The following is a 19819-nucleotide window of genomic DNA, read 5'->3' as shown; positions in this document are numbered from 1 at the left end:
TCACCTTACTTGGTAGCTGTGGGCAACAGGCAAGTCATTCCCTTCCCCTGAGACTCAGTCCCTTATACCTGTCACAGATACCTGACCAAAGAATGACCTAATTTTCTTTCAGTGACCAAGCTCAAATTAACATGAATAAGCCTTTTATTTCATTCATTCATTCATTCATTCATTCATTCATTCATTTGAGTCAGAATCTTGCTCTGTCACCCAGACTGGAGTGCAGTGGCACAATCTCAGCTCACTGCAACCTTGGCCTCCCGGGTTCAAGCGATTCTTCTGCCTCAGCCTCCCAAGTAGCTGGGATTACAGGCTCCTGCCACCACGCCTGGCTAATTTTTTATTTTTTGTAGAGACGGGGTTTTGCCATATTGGCCAGGCTGGTCTCGAACTTCTGACCTCAGGTGATCCACCTGTCTGGACCTCTCAAAGTGCTGGGATTACAGGTGTGAGCCACCGCACCCAGCCAAACCTTTTATTTCTTAGTTTATTTTATTTTAGATGGAGTCTCACTCTGTCATGCAGGCTGGAGTGCAGTGGCATGATCTTAGCTCACTGCAGCCTCCGCCTCTTGGGTTCAAGTAAGTCTCCTACCTCAGCTTCCTGGATAGCTGGGATTGCAGGCACCCACCACCTTGCCCATCTCATTTTTGTATTTCTAGTAGAGATGGGGTTTCATCATGTTGGCCAGGCTAGTCTCGAACTCCTGACCTCAAGTGATCTGCCCATCTGAGCACCACACCTGGCTTATGAATAAGCCTTTTAAAGTACTAAGACTTGATGATTTTTTTCCTTCAATTATATATACTCAAAGAGAAAAAAAAAATGCAGCACATATTTTATGTTCTAAATTAATACTTTCCTAAATAAGGTACATATCCCCCCAAATTACATAAATATATACTCTCCCTTATTTGTGAATACTGTTTAAAAATTTGACCATTTTCTGGAAGAATTTGTACTTTCAATGAGAAAGCAAAATACTTTTATCTTCAGTATTTGCTAGATATACAAATTTTTTTCTTCAGACTATTTTCCAGTTTTCTGTTACTATTAAAATATCTGGTGTAATTCAAGTTAATCTTCGTATGTTATTTTTATTTGTTCATTTCCTCTCTGAAAGTGTTTAAAATCTCTTTTCATTTCCAATATTCTGAAATTATATTATGATATGTGTGTGGGCCTTTTTAAACTTTTGCCAGGGATTGGTGGGCTTTAAAATTTTAAAACGTAGGTCTTTCAGTCCTTGGGAATTTTACTATTATTTATAATTTCTTCTCCTCTGATTTTGAGTATTTCTAGAACTACCGCAATTAGATTTTGAATATCTTAGTTAAGCTGTCTCGTCATTTTTGCTTACATTGGTCATCTTTTTTTCTTTTTCTTTCTTTTTTTTTTTTTCCTTATTTTAAAAGAGATCCCTTTTACTCCCTCTGAGACTTTGAGATATTACTGCCCCTGGATAGGATACATCCTTCTTGCATTAGTTTTTTAGTCATTTCAATTTCTTTGTGTTCACTCTGTCTTATAAGTAAATTATTCCTTTTAAACATCCAGGTTATTATTTCAGCATTCAGTGCTGCCAATCCTATATTAGATCTCCTCTATTGAATTATTGTTTTGGATTTTTAAAAATTTCTAAGCTCATTGCCTTATCCTTAGATTATTCTCTCGAAACATCTTTGTAAATGTCCCGAAGAATTCTTGTCTCTTCCATTTTACCTAACTCAATGGTAGCCATATGTTTTCTCTAGTTGGTGAGCCTCCTCTAAGCTGTTGATGTATTAGATGAGGTGTCATGTAACAATATGAGTAGGTTTGTCATCTCAGAATCACAGCAGATTGGGCTGTGGAATCTTCTGGCATTATTGGACAGCAAATGGTAAGGTAAAGAGAACGATGTTGGCTTTTCCAAGAAAGCAAAGCTCCTCCAAAGCTACTGGATCTCCATCCTCCCTGGCACTGCAACTGTGCTGGGCTCTAAGAGGCTGCCTTCTCTCCGTGAGCACTGGCACCAAAACGGATGCCTCGGAAGTACTCATCATTCCCCACTGTCCTCCTTCGTGGCCATACAGATAGCTGTGTGACCTCAACAGGGAGGAGGAAGAGGGAGGAGGAAGAGGGAGGAAGCCGTAGCACGTGCCCCGGCAGCTACCAACCTCCTAGACCTTATTATTTTTTAATAGAACTAATGAGCCACTGTAGACAGTGTTCTTGCTGATCCGTTTTAAGTGTAGAATGTTTAAATTTTATGCATAATTGAGGCAATATTACTCAAGTAAATGTTATTTTTAAGTAAGTTTATTATTTTTGAGCACAGTCTTTATTTTTAAGCCTAATTGTTTCTGAAAGCAAACATTCCTATAGATAGCTTAACTGTTGGACTAGAAGGTTATATATAATCAAAGCACAGTATTTCCCAAGAAGCAGAATATCCTAGTCATAAGACAAATATATGACAGGGAAGAGACAACTCTTAGAAACCACCCTTGTAGGTCCAAACCTGTAGACTAAAAATGAAGCATCAAAGCAACCTGTGAGAGATTCTACAACATAGTTTTCACAGTATTTGAATAGATATGTTAAAATTAAAAATGCATTGTGCTAAGATTCTTTTTATTTTTACAGCTGGAATACATAATTGATTATCTTAAAAGTTCCCTTACTCTCATTTACTGAATTATTTGAAAGCAACGATGTGTCATGACAGAAGATTTTCACCCTTTCATGTTTCCCCGTTAGTCTTCTAGCCAATGAATTCTAAAATGTTGGTAATTAAATTGATTGAACTGTACTGGTTAATAAGAATTAAAGCCCCCAAGAACAGGCGAACTATGATTTTTTTCATTGTTCACACAAATTAATATTTTCAGAAGAAGAGATTGATGGATAAGATAAATTTCTGCTGCAAACCTTGCTTTCAGGAAATAGGTGAAAACCTTTCCAGAAATCTATAATTATTCATAGTGTTATGTTTCCCTTTGATATATGCTTGAGGCTCATTAGCATTCTTTTCAAAAGCTAGTGATTAATTTTATAATGCTATTAGGGATGCATATGTATGGGATAAATTATATTTTAGAAATAAGATAATGTTAAATACTGAATTAAAATAGTGGTTGCATTACAGGAAAGTGGTAGACATATGGGATTAGGCATAAACACGCAGCTTTAATGCAGGGCTTCTCACCCTTGAAGCTGTCAACATTGTGAGCTGAATAATTCTTTGCTGTTTGGGGGCTATCCTGTGCAATGCAGGATGTTTAGCAGCATCTCTGGCCTCTACCGACTAAATACTAATAGCATCCCCCTGACAGTTGCGACAAGCAGAAATGTCTCCAGGCATTGCTGCACATCCCCTGGGGATGGGGCAGTGGGTAGCTTGGGGAACTGAATGGACCCTAATTGAGAAACACAGCTTTTTTTTTTTTTTATCAATATTTTTTTAGAGGTCTTACCAGTGACATAGGGCAAGGAAAACAAATACATTTTGGAATAGAAGAAATAAAATTGCTTCAGTTTGTAGAGGCAATGATATTCTAGGAAAAAAAGAATCCCAAGGAATCTAGAAAGCAAATACAAGAAGTAATAGCGGGCTTAGGAAAGTTACAGTGTATGAGACTCCTAAACAAAAGTCAATTATATTTCTCTTCACTCGCAGCAAACAAATGAAAATAAAAATAAAAAAGCTGTTCCATTCATGATAATGTCAAAAGTCATACAAACAATAACAAAATGCTTAGAGAAGATCAACAAATAAATGAATATATATGCCACATACATATGTCAATTCTTCCCAAATTGATCTATAGATCCAACTCAATTTCAACAGGATATGCATATATGTATCTGTATGGAGAAACACAGCTTTAATAGTAGTACATTTTGGTGAGGTTCTAGTTTTTAGGGTGGAAGATTCACAAGTATCCATTTTATTATGCTTTATAATCTACTTATAAGTTACATACATTCTCTTGAAGGTATACGTGTTTTATCATCAAACATATTAAAGCTGCTGGTAATATGCGTTTAAAACGAGGCTTACTGGAAATGAACTTGGAGATAAATTCTGTTTGATTTCATCATGGGGATTCATGGGGAATGTGGAACTTTATTTTCCATTTTTTAACCACAGTGTACTAGCATGTTTTCTTTTGTGCCATTTTGATGAGTATTTTGACAGGATGTTTATTTTGAATCTTCAGCCTTTGAGTCATTTACTCATGCAACCTGTGCAACAGGCTCTTTGCTAAAAATTGCTTGAGTTTTTAGGCCACAACTAAACAATTTTAGTCTAATATTAAAAGCACACATATAAAAGTTGAGGGACTTCAAAAATTATGTATGCAGAAAATAAAGTACAACATTATCTGGTTAATACCGTAAGAATAGCTTAGGAAAGAAGGAAAATCCTTCTGAAACAAGCTTAAATGACAAGTAATTTATGCCAAAGATTTAGAGGAACTCACAGAAAGTCATGAAACTGGTTTGAGTGGGACAGTGGTGGACTCCCCCGCCATTTTCTCATTCATCATTTCTCTCTGTTGCGAGGACGAGGACAGTGTCTTTTTCACTATGGTTTGCTCTCTCCTGGTGCTCCTCTTCCTCTTCCTCTCCTCTTCCTCTCTCTCTCTCCTTCCTTCCCTCCCTCCCTACCTTCCTCTCTCTCCCTCTCCCTCCTTCCCTCCCTCCCTCATTCTCTGAAGCTTGACTTCTCTTATCTTTCTATTATGTGGACTTGGACAGTCATGCCAACCTCTGTATGTGTATGACTTCCCAACACAGCTGCTTTTAAGTAACTTACTTTGTGGCTCAATTTTGAATTCCCAAAAGAAGAAATTTGGATGGCTCAGCTTAGGTTAGTGCCCACATTTGGTCCAATCAGCTGTGACCAAATAGAGACTACATGTTTTCACATGGGACCTAGGCTTTCCCATTCTGTGTCCTGCGGGTGCCTCGGGTACTATTAAAAGGACGTGTCGTCAGGGAAGAAATGATGCATGTATACGCTGCACATAACATCAACTCACAAATACCCTGTGAAGATTTTGTTTCCTCTTTACGAGGGAGACAGAGAACTGCTAGATATATGGAAGATAGATCTAGTTTATATCAATTCAAGAGTAGGTAGAATTAAACTTTCCTTATCTTCACTGGAATTAAATTCTTCAACTAGTTGTCTCCTTAAAGTTGCTCATTTCCTCCCATCTTCCTCGTGTGCAAGTGTAATGTGTAAATGTGAACACGCCATTGTTAAACCTCTTCAGAATCTAATATTCCATTTTGATAACACTAGTTATGAAACTAGTTTTAACCTAGAAACTAGTGTTTAACCTAGAGATAACAATAAGCTTCTGGAGAAGATTCGGAACGGAAGTGATAATAAATAATTCTTTAGCAATTTTACATGGGAATGGGTATCCTGGGATGATGCATTAACTACTCCTACTCAACAAGTATCTGATATTATCTGTGAATTGTTTCTAATCAAAATATGAGTCTGGGAATTTTTAAGTTGATCATAAAGGAGTAGAATCACAAACACAGTCATGTCCTAAAAAGCATGTAACAGACGCACATCAAAGGATGGTCCCCACAGATCTGTACTGTAGGAAATTGGTGGTGACATTTAGCCCTACCCATGTAATATCATCCACACATAAAGAACAGTGAAGAGGGCTGGGCACGGTGGCTTATGCCTGTAATCCCAACACTTTGGGAGGCCGAGGCAGGCAGATTGCCTGAACTCAGGAGTTCGAGACCAGCCTGAGCAACACAGTGAAACCCCATCTCTACTAAAATATAAAAATTAGCAGGATGTGGCGGTGTGTGCCTGTAGTCCCAGCTACTTGGGAGGCTGAGGCATGAGAATTGCTTGAACTCATGAGGCAGAGGTTGCAATGAGCCAAGATCGCACCACTGCACCCCAGCCTGGGTGACAGAGCGAGACACTCTGTCTCCAAAACAAAACAAACAAACAGAGCAGTGTTGAGGCCAGGTGTGGTGCTTATGCCTATAGTCCCAGCTACTTATGAGGCTATGGCTGGAGGATCGCTTTAACCCAGGAGTTCAAGGCCAGCCTGAGCAATATAGGGAGACCATCTCTTAAAAAAAAATAAAAATCAAAATGGTGAGGGACTCTGAAATCTGACTATAAAGCAAACATTAGTGTCCTCAAAAAGAATAATCTATAGATGAGATAGTTACTAACTCTACCACATGGGATTTGGAACAGATCTATGATAAACAAGTTTAATGCTAGAAAGTCTTGGTAGAGGAAGGCTCTCAAGAATATACTCCTTTTAAAATGTGTGTACATACAATCAACTTGATTCTTCAAAGTAGTAACATTAATTTTCAATTCATCATGGCATTATACTTTTTTCTTTAAAAAAATTTTAATAACCTTTTAGTTAATATTTTCATTTTCTCTCTTAAATTTTAACACAGAATTATTTCCATTGAAATACGTAAGCACAAAATAAAGTACGATATTTTGGTTACTATCCTAAGAACAGTTTAGTAAAGAAACAGAACCCCTCCAAAACCAGGGACATTCTCTATTAAATTTCAATGAAGCGTCTCTGTTAAAGCTCAAAGGAGTTATAATGAGTAATTTGGAGTTTCCTGATTTTTAACATTTGACTTCCCAAGAAGCGGGTAAAACCTGGAGGTTAGCCGCATCACTTTATCTTGATTAGTACGACCAACTGGGACCTGATTTTCACATCATCAGTTAGCATATTTGTAGCTTAACATTTCTAGTTCTGAACCTTAGCCTTGTTTGTTGTTTAAGATTTAATTAGGACTGCCTGGATAGCATGAAAGTATTTTATAAAGCAACAATAGAAAGGATATACTCTTGATTTATCACTTTTTGGTTTTGGCATCAAAAAAGATTATTTTGAGTTACTAATAATGCCTATGAATCATCAGTTAAACAAGTAGACTGCGGGGCCGAAAGTAGGAGGATCTGCAGAGATCTGGACTCATCACCAGCAGCTGTGCGCAGCCACTAGGCCATGGTCCTGACGCGTCACATTGTGATGTATGCATCTCTCGGTTGACATCCGGAGATCTCTGGGCAATGGGTCAGGGGCTGCACACAGAGAAACTGACACATATTTTTTTTCCTGTTAGAAAAGAAATCTATAAAAGCAAAAAATGGTTAATCATACTTAATATACTTTCAAAGCTGTCTTAAAAATATATTTAATTAAATGAAGCCAGATTTAAAGATATTTTCTGATCTCAGAAGTCTATAATATTTAAAGGAAAAACTTTATATAAATGTAGTACCAGGTTCTGGCAAGGATACAGAATGACTTAGACTAACAGATATTGCTGGTGGGAATGCAAACTGGTACAGACGCTTTGGGTAAACAGTTTGGCAGTTTCTTATAAAGTTAAACATATATTTACCATATGACTCAGCAGTCTCACTCCTAGGTATTTACCCAAGTGAAATGAAAACTACATTCTTGCAAAAATGTATGCATGAGTGTTTGCGGCAGCTTTATTTGTCATCACCAGTAAGTGGAAACTACCCAAATGTTTCTCAACTGGAGAATGGATAAGCAAACTGTGGTGCCTTCCATACAATGAAATATCACTTAACAGCAAAGAGAAACAAACCACTGTTCCACACTACAGCACGAATGTGTCTCACGTGCGTTATGTGTGGTGCATTCCATACCATGAAATATCACTCAACAGCAAGGAGAAACCACTGTTCCACATGACAGCATGAATGGGTCTCACATGCGTTATGTGTGGTGCATTCCATACCATGAAATATCACTCAACAGCAAAGAGAAACCACTGTTCCACATGACAGCATGAATGGGTCTCACATGCGTTATGTGTGGTGCATTCCATACCATGAAATATCACTCAACAGCAAAGGGAAACCACTGTTCCACATAACAGCATGAATGGGTCTCACGTGCGTTATGTGTGGTGCATTCCATACCATGAAATATCACTCAACAGCAAAGAGAAACAAACCACTGTTCCACACGACAGCATGCATGGGTCTTACATGCGTTATGTGTGGTGCATTCCATACCATGAAATATCACTGAGCAGCAAAGGGAAACAAACCACTGTTCTACACAATAGCATGAATGGGTCTCACATGCGCTATTTGTGATGCATTCCATACCATGGAACATCACTCAACAGCAAAGAGAAACCACTGTTCCACATGACAGCATGAATGGGTCTCACGTGCATTATGCTAAGTGAGAGGCAGGATTCAGAGGGCTGCATACTCTATGACTCAATTTGTATGACATTCTTACAAAAGGAAAACTATAGGCACACACGCAAAAAATCCTGCTGCGTAGTTGCCAAGGGCTGGGGTTTGAAGAGGAAGATACTGCAAAAGAAGCCTGGGGACGATGACACTGTTTTGCATTCTGATTGCGGTGATGGTCACACGACTCTCTTTCAAAACCCTTATATGCTCAAAAGGGTGAATTTTACTACAAGTAAATTGTACCTTAATATAAATGGAAAATAATTTTCTTAAAACCTGTGGTTTTCTAATGGTAATTGGATTTAAAAACTGTCACTAACCTACATATTAGTTTTGAACATATTAACTATTTGGTAATGTGAAGCCTTTGTTGGCTCTGAATAGTCTAGCACAGAATTTTAGAAAAGGCTTCCTGTGAGCTGCTGATTCCCATGGAGAAAAGGAAACCAGTAACAGGACAAAGGGGCTGGTTTTCAGCATTCTTTTGCATGTGGATACTAAGCTTGAATAACCCCCGTGAATATTGACGAGCGGCTCTCATAAATTACTCCATGTTTCTTATGCATAGCTCTTGCTGTCATTTTAACATAATAACTCTTTAATATATAGGATCCCTGTTTTCTGGGTCATAAAAATAACTATAGAAAAAAAATCTGAAGTGTTTCTGTTAGTGCTCATAAAATTGTGGCATTCTATATATTTTTAAAAAATATGTGACATTGTAAAAAAAAGGCCTAAAATTATTTTAGAAGTAGAAATTAAAGTCATCTCTTCTATAAAAATTTGTCAAATTTTTAATGTAAATGGAAAGAATTTGATTTATTTATTATATATTGTCTGTATTTGCATAAGTGTAATGCATGAAAAATTACTCTGCCCTTTTATCTAAATGTTGAGGCCTGTATTGCATGTCTTTGCTAATTGCAATTCTAACACAACAATATGAAATAAACTCAAATTTAGGTTATGCACATAAATGCAGTAAGTGACATATTATATACTTTTTAATCATTAAATATGTTTTGTAGTCAGACAGCATTATATTTTAACCATCGCTTCCTAATACGTATTACATAAAGACCCAATAGGATGAAAATTATTTCTATAACCAACAAACAGATATATTCTAAAAGTGCACATAAATATAAATTCTCTTAAGTAAAATATTGAATAAACTGAGGGACATGTTAGACATGACTCTCTCTCTCTCTCTCTCTCTCTCTCTCTCTATTTATATATATCTACAGCTATTAATAAAGATAAAAGCATATGTCTTCAGAGATAGATGGAGCATCAATATTTAGATAGAAAAACAGGTAATTTGCAATGGGGAAGTGATAGTCCATGAACCATATACAAAAATATATATTTTTTCAGATGTATCATAAATATTTTCAGTGGATTTTCTTATACCACATACAGGAATTTATCGTGTCCTAAAATAGAGAAAATGAAGCATGCCATGTAAGACTGTTGTAACATAGCTATCTTGGCACTGGGCACACAGGTATTCAATAAATGGGAATTACTAGCATTACATATTGCTTGATCTCTACACACAGCTCTGCTGGGGCCCTGGGCAGACTGTGAAGCCATTTACTATCTTTCCTGCTCTCCGGCCTTCACTTGGGGTTCCCTGATACAGCAGTAAGGACTCCACTTTCTGATCTCTCAGCTCTTTGGTGCCCCTTCTGTCTGAGCAGCAGGACTGGAGCAGATCCTGATCATTTTAAAGATGACACTACTGTGCTCCAAATGTTTGTGTACCCCCAAATTTATGTGTTGAAATCCTAACCCCCAGGGTGATGGTATTAGGAGGTGAGAGATTTGGCAGTGACTGGGTTAGGAAAGCAGCAAAACCCTCATGAATGGGATTAGTCCCCTTAGAAGAAGAAGTCAGAGAGAGATCCTCATGTTTTCCACCACATGAGGACACAGTGAGGAGGCACCCTCTGTGAACCAGAAAGTCGACCTTCACTAGACACCGAATCTGCCAATGCCTTGATCTTGGACTTCACAGCCTCCAGAACTCTGAGGGATACATTTCTGTTGTGTATGGTGTTTTGTGATAGCAGCCCAAATGGACTAAGACAGTATTTTAGTATGCCTGAATTTGAATCAGTCACTTGAGGTCTTTTATCCCTAATTTTACATAGCACAGCATCTGGTATATATTAGATATTCAGTAAAGCTTTGTCAAAGGAATGATACTTTTCCTTTGTAAAATAATTTTAGGCATCATTAAGTAGCTGCAGAGGCTCTGGCTGGAGGGTTACACACGACCATCATCTCTGAAGTCAAACTTTCTAAGCTAAATTGCAAAATAACATGGTACTTTTAGAGCAGTGTAGATGGGGTGTGGGATGGAGAGGTACAAAGAGGTCGTCCCCAGTGGACTCTTCAGATTGACTCAGTGCTGCCTTGGGGCTGGGGCTGCAGGGGACCTGTGTGACAACAGATGAGGACTCCAAGAACTCATAAACAGTCTGATGCAAATGGCAACTGGCCACGGGGCCGAGTTTCAGACACAGTGTCCCACGCCAGGAGATGAGGGCCAGTCAGTGTCACAGAGGGTTCGAGGAGTTTCTAGGCAGAATAAGAGAGCAGGGGAAGGCTTGACAAGGTGCATGCTGACGTGGAATCTGAGGCCAGCACCACGGTCACCTTCATTCTGTTCCTCCCAGAGACAAGAGAAGGTGCTTCCCTCAGTGCTGACCAGTTGATTGCTATTGGAAAGCATGGCCAGGTAAAGTGACCTGGGTCTCTGTTATGGGTTGAATTGCATCCCCCAGAAAGATATGTAGAAGATGTAATCCCCAGAACTGCAGACTGTGACCTTACTTGAAAATGGGGATTTTACAGATGTAATTAGTTAAGATCATACTGTAGTGGGGGGCGGGACCTTCATCCAACTTGAGTAGTGTCCTGATAAGAAGAGAAAATAGAGGTGTAGGGAGAAGATGCCATGGGACAACAGAGGCAGAGATGAGAGTGCTGCAGTTACAAGCCGAGAAACCTCAGAGATGAATGGGCACCACCAGAAGAGGCAAGGAAGGATGCTTCCCTGCATGTCCCAGAGGAAGTTTGGCCCTGCTGACACCTTGGTTTTGGACTTCTAACCTCCAGAACGGAGGATAAGTTTCTGCTGTTTTAAGTCATCCAGATTAGGGTACTTTGTTATAGCAGACCTAGGGAACTAATCCCGTATCTAAGGACAAATGCTCTGTTTATCTACTGAGGAACACTGTCTGCTGTGTCTGTGGGGCCGGCCACACCTCCATGCAGATTTGGGTCTCTCCATACCTGCCAGGGTAACTACCCATTTTAGATATTCAGATTCTGCCATACCCAAGTTCCTCCTCTGGGATCTGCAACTCTTTTTTGGATGTTACTATTCCAGGATGGCTGGAGGCAGAGAAACATGTGCCCGCCACTTGGAAGACAAAGAAACTGCTCTACCCTCAGAGAAAATCTGCCTGGGTGCTGTCTTCCCCTCAGAGATTCTCTCCCAACCTCATAACATCTCTTTTCATCCTCCTGCCACAAGGAAGCTAGATGCATTGTTTACATTTTCCTAAGAGTTAAGCATTAAGTTCATAGTGTAAATTACTCTCCTTCCTTTCTGATATGCTGAAATGTATCCTTCTGCATACAGTCTTATGTGTGCCTGTGGTAATGAAGACTCTGACAATGAAGTGTGCCCCTGGAATACATCGTCTTCGTTAATAATAAATACCTGAAGACACAATAGCTTAGTTCATTAAATATATGCATATAGGTCTGTTATTTTAAAGGGAATAGACCTTTAGCAGAAATTTATTTAAATACCCTTGCATTGAATGGACTGTATGCTCCTTTTGAGAGGTTTGTAAATGCATTTGAAGCAGTAATGCATAAAGGCTTGACACTGGATCCTACCACATGAAGCCTAAAACAATTGGTCACATTCAGCTCTTCAAATATATTTTTGGCATTAACAATAGTCTGAGTGATTTAGTTAACCATTCAAGGTTGCATTTCAGTAAAGCTTGAATAATCATTGCTTAAATTAAGAACTGTCAGATACCTGTAAGCTCAGCACTTTGGAAGGCCGAGGCGAGTGGATCACTTGAGGTCAGGAATTCGAGACCAGCCTGGCCAACATAGTAAAAACCCCTCTCTACTAAAAGTACAAAAATTAGCCGGGCATAGTGGCACATGCCTGTAATCCCAGCTACTCAGGAGGCTGAGGCAAGGGAATCACTTAAACCTGGGAGGTGGAGGTTGCTGTGAGCTGAGATTACACCACTGTACTCTAGCCTGGACAACAGAGTGAGACTCTGTCTCAAAAATAAAATAAAATAAAATAAAATAAAATAAAATAAAATAAAATATAAATTAAAAAAAATACTATCAGATAAAGATGAAGAAGAGACCAAACCCAGATTAAATAATAAAGGGAAGGAATGAAGAAGTAAAAGCAAGTGAAAGGTTCACAGGATGAAAAATGTATAGAAAGCATAATGAGGCCAACGTCTTATTGAGGAGAGCTGTGATACTGAACAAGACTGACCCTTATATTGATTGCAAACTGTATTAAAATTACTCAGAAAAGAAAACTGCATATGGTGTACCTATCTCACCGTCCAGATGGTAAGTGGTGCAGCCGGGATTTCAGTACAGATCTGAGTTGAGAAGCCGTGGTCTTGTCACTATATGCAAAACCTCCTCTGCCATATGCATAGGAAAAGGCATTTCCCCTGGCTTTTTCTTTTCTTTTCTTTTCTTTTCTTTTAGTTTTCTTTGTTTTAGGGAACAAAATAATACCTTGGGGACCTTCTCTCCACCAAACTAACATAAATATTTAGCTTTCCTAAATGTCAATTGGGACAAATGGTGAACCATGAATATTTCCACTGGTAGGTGACTGACAGCCCAGGCAGGGCCTTGACGCAGAGGCTGACCAGACTGTCCTTGAACTCCTAGGAGCCGAGGTGACGTACATGAACATGACCGCTTACAACAAGGGCCGGCTGCAGTCCTCCTTCTGGATCGTGGACAAACAGCACGTGTATATCGGCAGTGCCGGTTTGGACTGGCAATCCCTGGGACAGGTAAGCTTTCTACGTTATGTAAACTCAATGTTCTGTCACCCTCAAAGCGACCACCTTCATAAAGCACGCTACTGCAGATAAGGATCCTAAAACCTACAGCATTTATTATTCTTAACTGTAGTTTTAAGAGGCTCATCTTCCTTTTATGTGAAAGGATAAACCTTTGCTTGTCAGGATCATCTTACAAAAAAAAGTAAAAACTGTTATTGCTTCAATGCTTTTGTAATTCATAGGCTGCTCCCAGATTCCTGAGAGCAGGTTGCTATGTAATTGACATCACCCAGACCTATATTTTCAGGATGATATTACATCATCTATGAGACAGGGGGAAACACAAAAATTCAGTAGAGAGTAATATGTCTTAGGATAGTAATCATTTGGGTTATTTCTTTAATCTCAAGATGAAGATGTTATCTTTCTCTTAACAAATGATTAACTTCAAATATGTTGAAAATACATTTTCACACACTTAGGATTTTTATGCATTTATTTGTGTCAGAGGCAATCCACAGAGGATTACAAAATCACCATCTTTCCATTAGTCATCCAGCGACAGGAGGTTCCTAGTCATTGGATGCTTAGGAAGACTAGCCAACCTTCTCAGAACATCTTTTTAAATCAACACTCCAGCATACTCCCCTCCTCTTCCTCTCCACACCTACACACAGATATTGTCTCCTCCCCGGCCCATTATTTCCCCACAGCTCTCAAAATTTGGGATCACGCTATTATACTTAATCATCTATCTTAAATTAGTGTTCCTTTCTATTATGCTCAACTATGTGGAATTTTTCTTGGTCTACCTCAGTGTGACATAAAGCATTGCTTAGCAGGACCTATGCATTAGAACAGATTTTAATTTACCAAAGTTGAGGCTAACAATTACAAGAAGAATTATACATTTTCCAAGAGTTAAACCTATGTTATCAGCTTTATAGTTTGTGAAGTTGTCCAGTGAAATCAATGATTATTGTTATCAATCATTACCTTACATTTATGGTAAGTGGAAGAAATAATTAACAACAATAACAGTTTCAATGAATTGAGGCTTTCTCTATGCTGGGCATTTTTCTACGCATGTAAAGAGTATAACCTCATTCCATTTTCACAGTAATTCTTTCTTGGAAATACTCCTCTTATAATTTTATCTTGCAAAGGAAGAAGCTGAGACATAGGTAAGTAACTTACCCAAGGACACTTTTCAGGAAGTGGCAAAGCTGGAACTCAAACCCAAGCCATATAGCTCTAAACACCTCACTCTTATTTCACTAATCTTTTAAAATAAATACATTTAGGAAAAAATTATTTTCTTTATCTTTCTGGGGTGCTAAGTTACAGATTTTCTCTGTCACCCTTTTCTTTAACAAAATCTAACAATGCAATTAATCAAGAAACTTTTTACTCACTGGAATCTTTCCAATTGCAAATCCATAATGATATGGTGGTCATAGGATGCCAACTACTCTTGCTCAATACTTGAGCTCTGCAAACTCACTAATCTCTGGATTGAACTAGGAAAACTAGGAAGTCAGTATGTGTTTGCTTCTATAGACATACAGCAAAGATATTTCATCTTTAGTTCCAGACCACTGCAATAAAGCAAGTCACACAATTTTTTTGGATTCCCAGTGCATATAAAAGTTACCTTTACACTATACTGTAGTCTAAGTGTGCAGTAGCACTATGTAAAAACAAATGTGCATACCTTAATTTAAGAATACTTTATTGCTAGAAAATAACAATCATCTGAGCCTTCAGATGCAGATGTAAGATTTTTGCTGGTGGAGGGTTTTGCCTCAATGTTGATGGCTGCTTACTGATCAGGGTGGTGATTGCTAAAGGCTAGGGTGGCTATAGCAATCTCTTAAAATAAGACAGCAATGGAGTTGGCCACATCAATTGACTTCCTTTCATGAAAGATGTCTCTGTAGCATGTGGTGCTGTTTAAAAGCATTTTATCCACAATAAAACTTCTTTCAAAATTGGAGTCAGTCCTCTCAATCCCTTCCACTGCTTTATCAACTAAGTTTATGTAATATTCTAAATCCTTTTTATTTCAACAATGTTCACAGCATATTCACTAGGAATAGATTTCATCTCAACCACTTTCCCTTGCTCATTCATAAGAAGCAACTCCTCATACATTCAAGTTTTATCCTGAGATTGCAGCAATTCAGCCACATCTTTAGGCTCCCCTTCTAATTCTAGTTCTCTTGTTATTTCCATCACATCTGCAGTGACTTCCTGCACTGAAGTCTTAAACCCCTCAGAGTCATCCATGAGGGTTAGAATCTACTCCTTCCAAACTCCCGTTAATGTTGATATGTTGACCTTCTCCCGTAAATCCCAAATGTTCTTTTTTTGAGATGGAGTTTTGGAGTTCTGCTCTTGTCGCCCAGGCTAGAGTGCAGTGGCAGCTCACTGCAACCTCCACCTCCCAGGTTCAAGTGATTCTCCTGCCTCAGCCTCCCAAGTAGCTGGGATTACAGGCATGTACCACCACGCCCAGCTAATTTTTGTATTTTTTAGTAGAGATGGGGTTTCACCATGTTGTCCAGGCTGGTCTCAAACTCCTGACTTTTGGTGATTCACCCACTTCGGCCTCCCAAAGTGCTGGGATTACAAGTGTGAGCCACCGTGCCTGGCCAACAAATGTTCTTAATGGTACCTAGAATGGTGAAGCCTTCCCAGAAGATTTTCAATTTAATTTGCCCAGATCTATCAGAGGAATAACTGTCTATGGTAGCTATATAGCCTTCCAAAAGACTTGAAAGTAGAAATTACTCCTTGATCCCTGGGCTGCAGAATGAATGTTGTGTTATCAGACATGTAGACAACATTCATCTCCTTGCCCATCTTCGTCAGAGCTATTGGGTGACCAGGTACATTGTCAATGAGCAGTAATATTTTGAAAGGAATCTTTCTTTCTGAGCAGTAGGTCTCAACAGCAGGCTTAAAATATTCAGTAAGCCATGCTGTATTCAGCAGTACTATCATCCCAGCTTTGTTCCATTTATAGAGCACAGGCAGAGTTGATTTAGCATAATTCTTAAGGGTCCCACAATTTTTATGATGGTAGATGTGTATTGGCTTCAACTTAAAATCACCAGCCTCATCAGCACCTAACAGAGTCAGCATGTCCTATGAAACTTTGAAGCTAAGCATTGAATTATCTCCTTTCTAGCTATGAAAGTGTGTGGGGGTCTGACCCACAGACCCTAACTCAGTGATGGATGAGAGACATACGCTGACATAGATATTTTGCCTGTCAGTTTGGCTGAGGGTCCAGGCCACTCACAGACACCGAGGAAGGTGCTGTAAAGAAGGTGCTGTAAAGAGTCGTGGCCCTGAACAGTCAGCGAAGCTTGCATTTATTCAGTATAGATTAAATGACAAAGGTCTTGAGTAAACAACACTAGAGGGTAATTGACATTGCTGATTTCCCAAGTAGAGAGCAATTATGCACCTGAGGTTGATCAAAGGTTGGTCTTAGGACCACATGAGTAAACAAGCCATTTAGATAAAATAATCTACATTCCTTTGTATCTGTGCCCCAAGCTATTAACTCAAGTTAAGGATTAGGCTGCTTTTAGCCATAACCCTATCCTGAAACTTTTGCAAAACCTTCCAGCCTTCCAAGGTTTGTGTCTCTATTCTATAACTTCATCTTAAAATTTTTCCCACCAGCCTGACTGAACTCCCACATCTCCCCCTTTTCTGTTTTTTGCATTGGGTTCTGTTGACTGAAGCATACAGCTGTGTGCAGCAACAGGTCTGTCGGGCAAGGCGGTCATTGCTGTTATTCTGACTTTGCATCCTAGAATTAGCAAATAACATAAGACAATCATGAGTATAATTAGCAACATTCTTTTCCAATCAAGGAGTGACCTGCAGCATTACTTGGCACTTCAGTTTGATGTGTGCTGTTACTAAGGAACCCCGCTGGGGGTATGTTAACCCCTTCCAGCCAAGCAGTCATGTTGTTAGAAGCGGGGAAGGGAGTGTCTGCCCAGATAACAGGGCAGATTTTCAGATAAATCTGAAAAAAGGCAGATTTAGAAGATAAGCTTAATAGAGTGTAGCAGGTACAGGTAGCAGGTAAAGTGAGAGAATTTAAAAAGATTAATAAAACATAGTAAGGAACAATTATCTGGAGTGAATGGTGTCTGTGTCCAGAGCAGGATTCGCTCAGTCTTCTGACTTGTCTTCTTCAGCATTCTGTCCAGGGCCTGTGTTGTCCAAGGAAGGTGCATTGTCTGGGGCTGTGGGTCCTGTAGGGTTATTTTCTTCATTTCTGGTACCGGGTTAGGTCCTAGCCATGCCATGCTATGGTTTGATGCGTTGTGCTAGAATCCAAAGAGGACCCGAGGGGGTGTGGAAGCATACCTTCTTCCCCATGTTAATAATTCATTTGGACCACACCATACATTACTGTTCACATCTTTCCATAAAACTGCAGGTTTTATGTCTTGAGAGGTTTTAGCAAAGTGCATATCTACAGCTGATCGAAATGTGTCATCTAAATTTTAAAAATTAAGGGTAAATAAGGTTTGTGCCAATAGTGTTGCCGGGTCTTTACCCATATTCCCCCCTTTTTGTTTTTTGAGCATATTTTTAAGAGTTGAACGGGCATGTTTTACTATGGCTTGTCCTTGGGGGTTATACGGGATGCCTGTGGAATGTTGGATATTCCACATGTGACAAAATTGTTGGAATTGTGAATTGGCATAAGCTGAACCATTATCAGTTTTAATTTTTGTGGGCCATCATATAAATGCAAAAGTTAAAAGAAGATGTATAGGCTGGGCACGGTGGCTCACACCTGTAATCCCAGCACTTTGGGAGGCTGAGGTGGGCAGATCACAAGGTCAGGAGATCAAGACCATTCTGGTTAACACGGTGAAACCCCGTCTCTACTAAAAATACAAAAAAAAAAAAAAAAAATTGGCCAGGCACGGTGGCAGGCACAAGTAGTCCCAGCTACTCTGGAGGCTGAGTCAGGAGAATGGCGTGAACCCGGGAGGCAGAGCTTGTGGTGAGCCAGGGTCTCGCCACTGCACTCCAGCCCGGGCAACAGAGCAAGACTCCATCTCAAAAAAAAAAAAAAAAAAAAAAAGGTGTTTAATGACATATCGAGTGGACTCTCAAGGAAGAGCATGTGCACTAATTAGATGAGTGTTGGTATCAATGGCTAAATGTACACATCTTAGTTTTCCAAATTCAGGGATGTAACATCTGTTTGCCATAACTAATTAGGTTCTAATCCTCTAGGGTTAACACCTGTTGAAGGAGGGGACGTGCCTGTGAGCTGGCAATCTGGGCATTGTAGGATAATTTGTTTAGCCAGTCTCTGGGTAAGTTGAAATTGTTTAGATAAGTTTCTCCAGTGTTGGTGGAAAAATTGATGCAATTGCATGGCTTAGTCAAGCAGTGATATCATAACCTGAAGGTCTGCTTGATTATTGCCATAAGCCAATGGGCCAGGCAGTGAGCTGTGGGCTTGACTGTGTGTAATAAAAACAGGATGTGTACGTTGATCTAGCAATTGCTGAAGTTGAAGAAAAAGAGCACACAGGGTGGGCTCCAGAGTGGACTTAATTAGGGCTCTCTCAAGGTTCTGAAATAAATCAACAGAGTAAGCAGAATCACTAACTATATTGATGGGCTAAGTGGAAAAATTCTCCACAGCCAGTATCAGTGCCCCATTCTCAGTTCTCTGAGTGCTAGTAAGCCCAGATAGAGTGATGGAATTATGTGGTCTCCACCAAACTGCTGCTTTTCCAAATTTACCTGAACCATCAGTAAACAGTGTTAAAGCATTAGGTATGGGAGAGTGAACTATTTTTGTAGGCAAGATCCCAGGAGTACGAGATAAGAAATGAAGGAGTTTATCAGCAGGAAGGACATGCGCTATTTGTCCTGTATAATCAGAGAGAGCTATTTGCAGATCAATAGATGCTGGCAATACTGCTTTGAATTGCTTTTTACTTAAAGGAATCCTGAAAATATCAGGATCATAACCTAGCAACTGACAACATTGTCTGCAACCTGAATGGATGACTTTACTAAGTAACTGGATATAGGGAGAGAGTGTTTTAGTCCCGGTATGTGAGCAAAAAAAAAAAACCCATTCTAGAAAGCACAGTGCTGGGGGGTCATCTGTCCTACTAACCCTCCAGGGGAGTGTTTGGTGGGAAAAATAAATAACTGGATGGAATAATGGGTGTCTGTGCAATCTAGTTGCCTCTGAGAGGTGGCTTGTTCTATTTTCTCAATTTCCCTTTTTGCTGCGGGGGTTAACTCTCTGGGAGAATCCAGGACTGTATTGCCCTTTAAGATAGACAACAGGTTTTGCAGCTTATAAGTCGGAATGCCTAAAGTGGGGCAGAGCCAGTTGATATGCCTGGTAATTTCTGATAATATTTAAAGTGTGTAAGTTGCTAGTATTTAACCTTTTGAGGTCTTA

At 39.4% G+C, this 19819-nt stretch overlaps 1 protein-coding gene across 14 annotated transcripts in view, besides 1 other annotated feature; it reads left to right on the top strand.

Annotated features, from left to right (window-relative positions):
• The window catches only part of PLD5 (phospholipase D family member 5), a 447561-nt gene that overhangs the window by 297206 nt on the left and 130536 nt on the right, over positions 1–19819 (top strand). For all 14 annotated transcript variants that reach the window (XM_011544115.3, XM_011544116.3, NM_001320272.2 and 11 more), the window contains one exon: positions 13226–13353. In XM_011544115.3, coding sequence (XP_011542417.1) covers positions 13226–13353 — 128 coding nt within the window. The remainder of the gene's footprint in view (positions 1–13225; positions 13354–19819) is intronic.
• Positions 8140–8219: an enhancer, noted in NCBI's record as "active region_2830". NCBI's record gives its function as "activates an Ori minimal core promoter by ATAC-STARR-seq in GM12878 lymphoblastoid cells {active_cell/tissue: GM12878}" and the evidence as "EXISTENCE:reporter gene assay evidence [ECO:0000049][PMID:35858748]".

Source organism: Homo sapiens, chromosome 1 (genome assembly GCF_000001405.40).
Source record: "Homo sapiens chromosome 1, GRCh38.p14 Primary Assembly".
Classification (NCBI taxonomy): domain Eukaryota; kingdom Metazoa; phylum Chordata; class Mammalia; order Primates; family Hominidae; genus Homo; species Homo sapiens.
The sequence above is the reverse complement of the archived record's forward strand: the minus strand, read 5'-3'. Positions and strand labels throughout refer to the sequence as shown.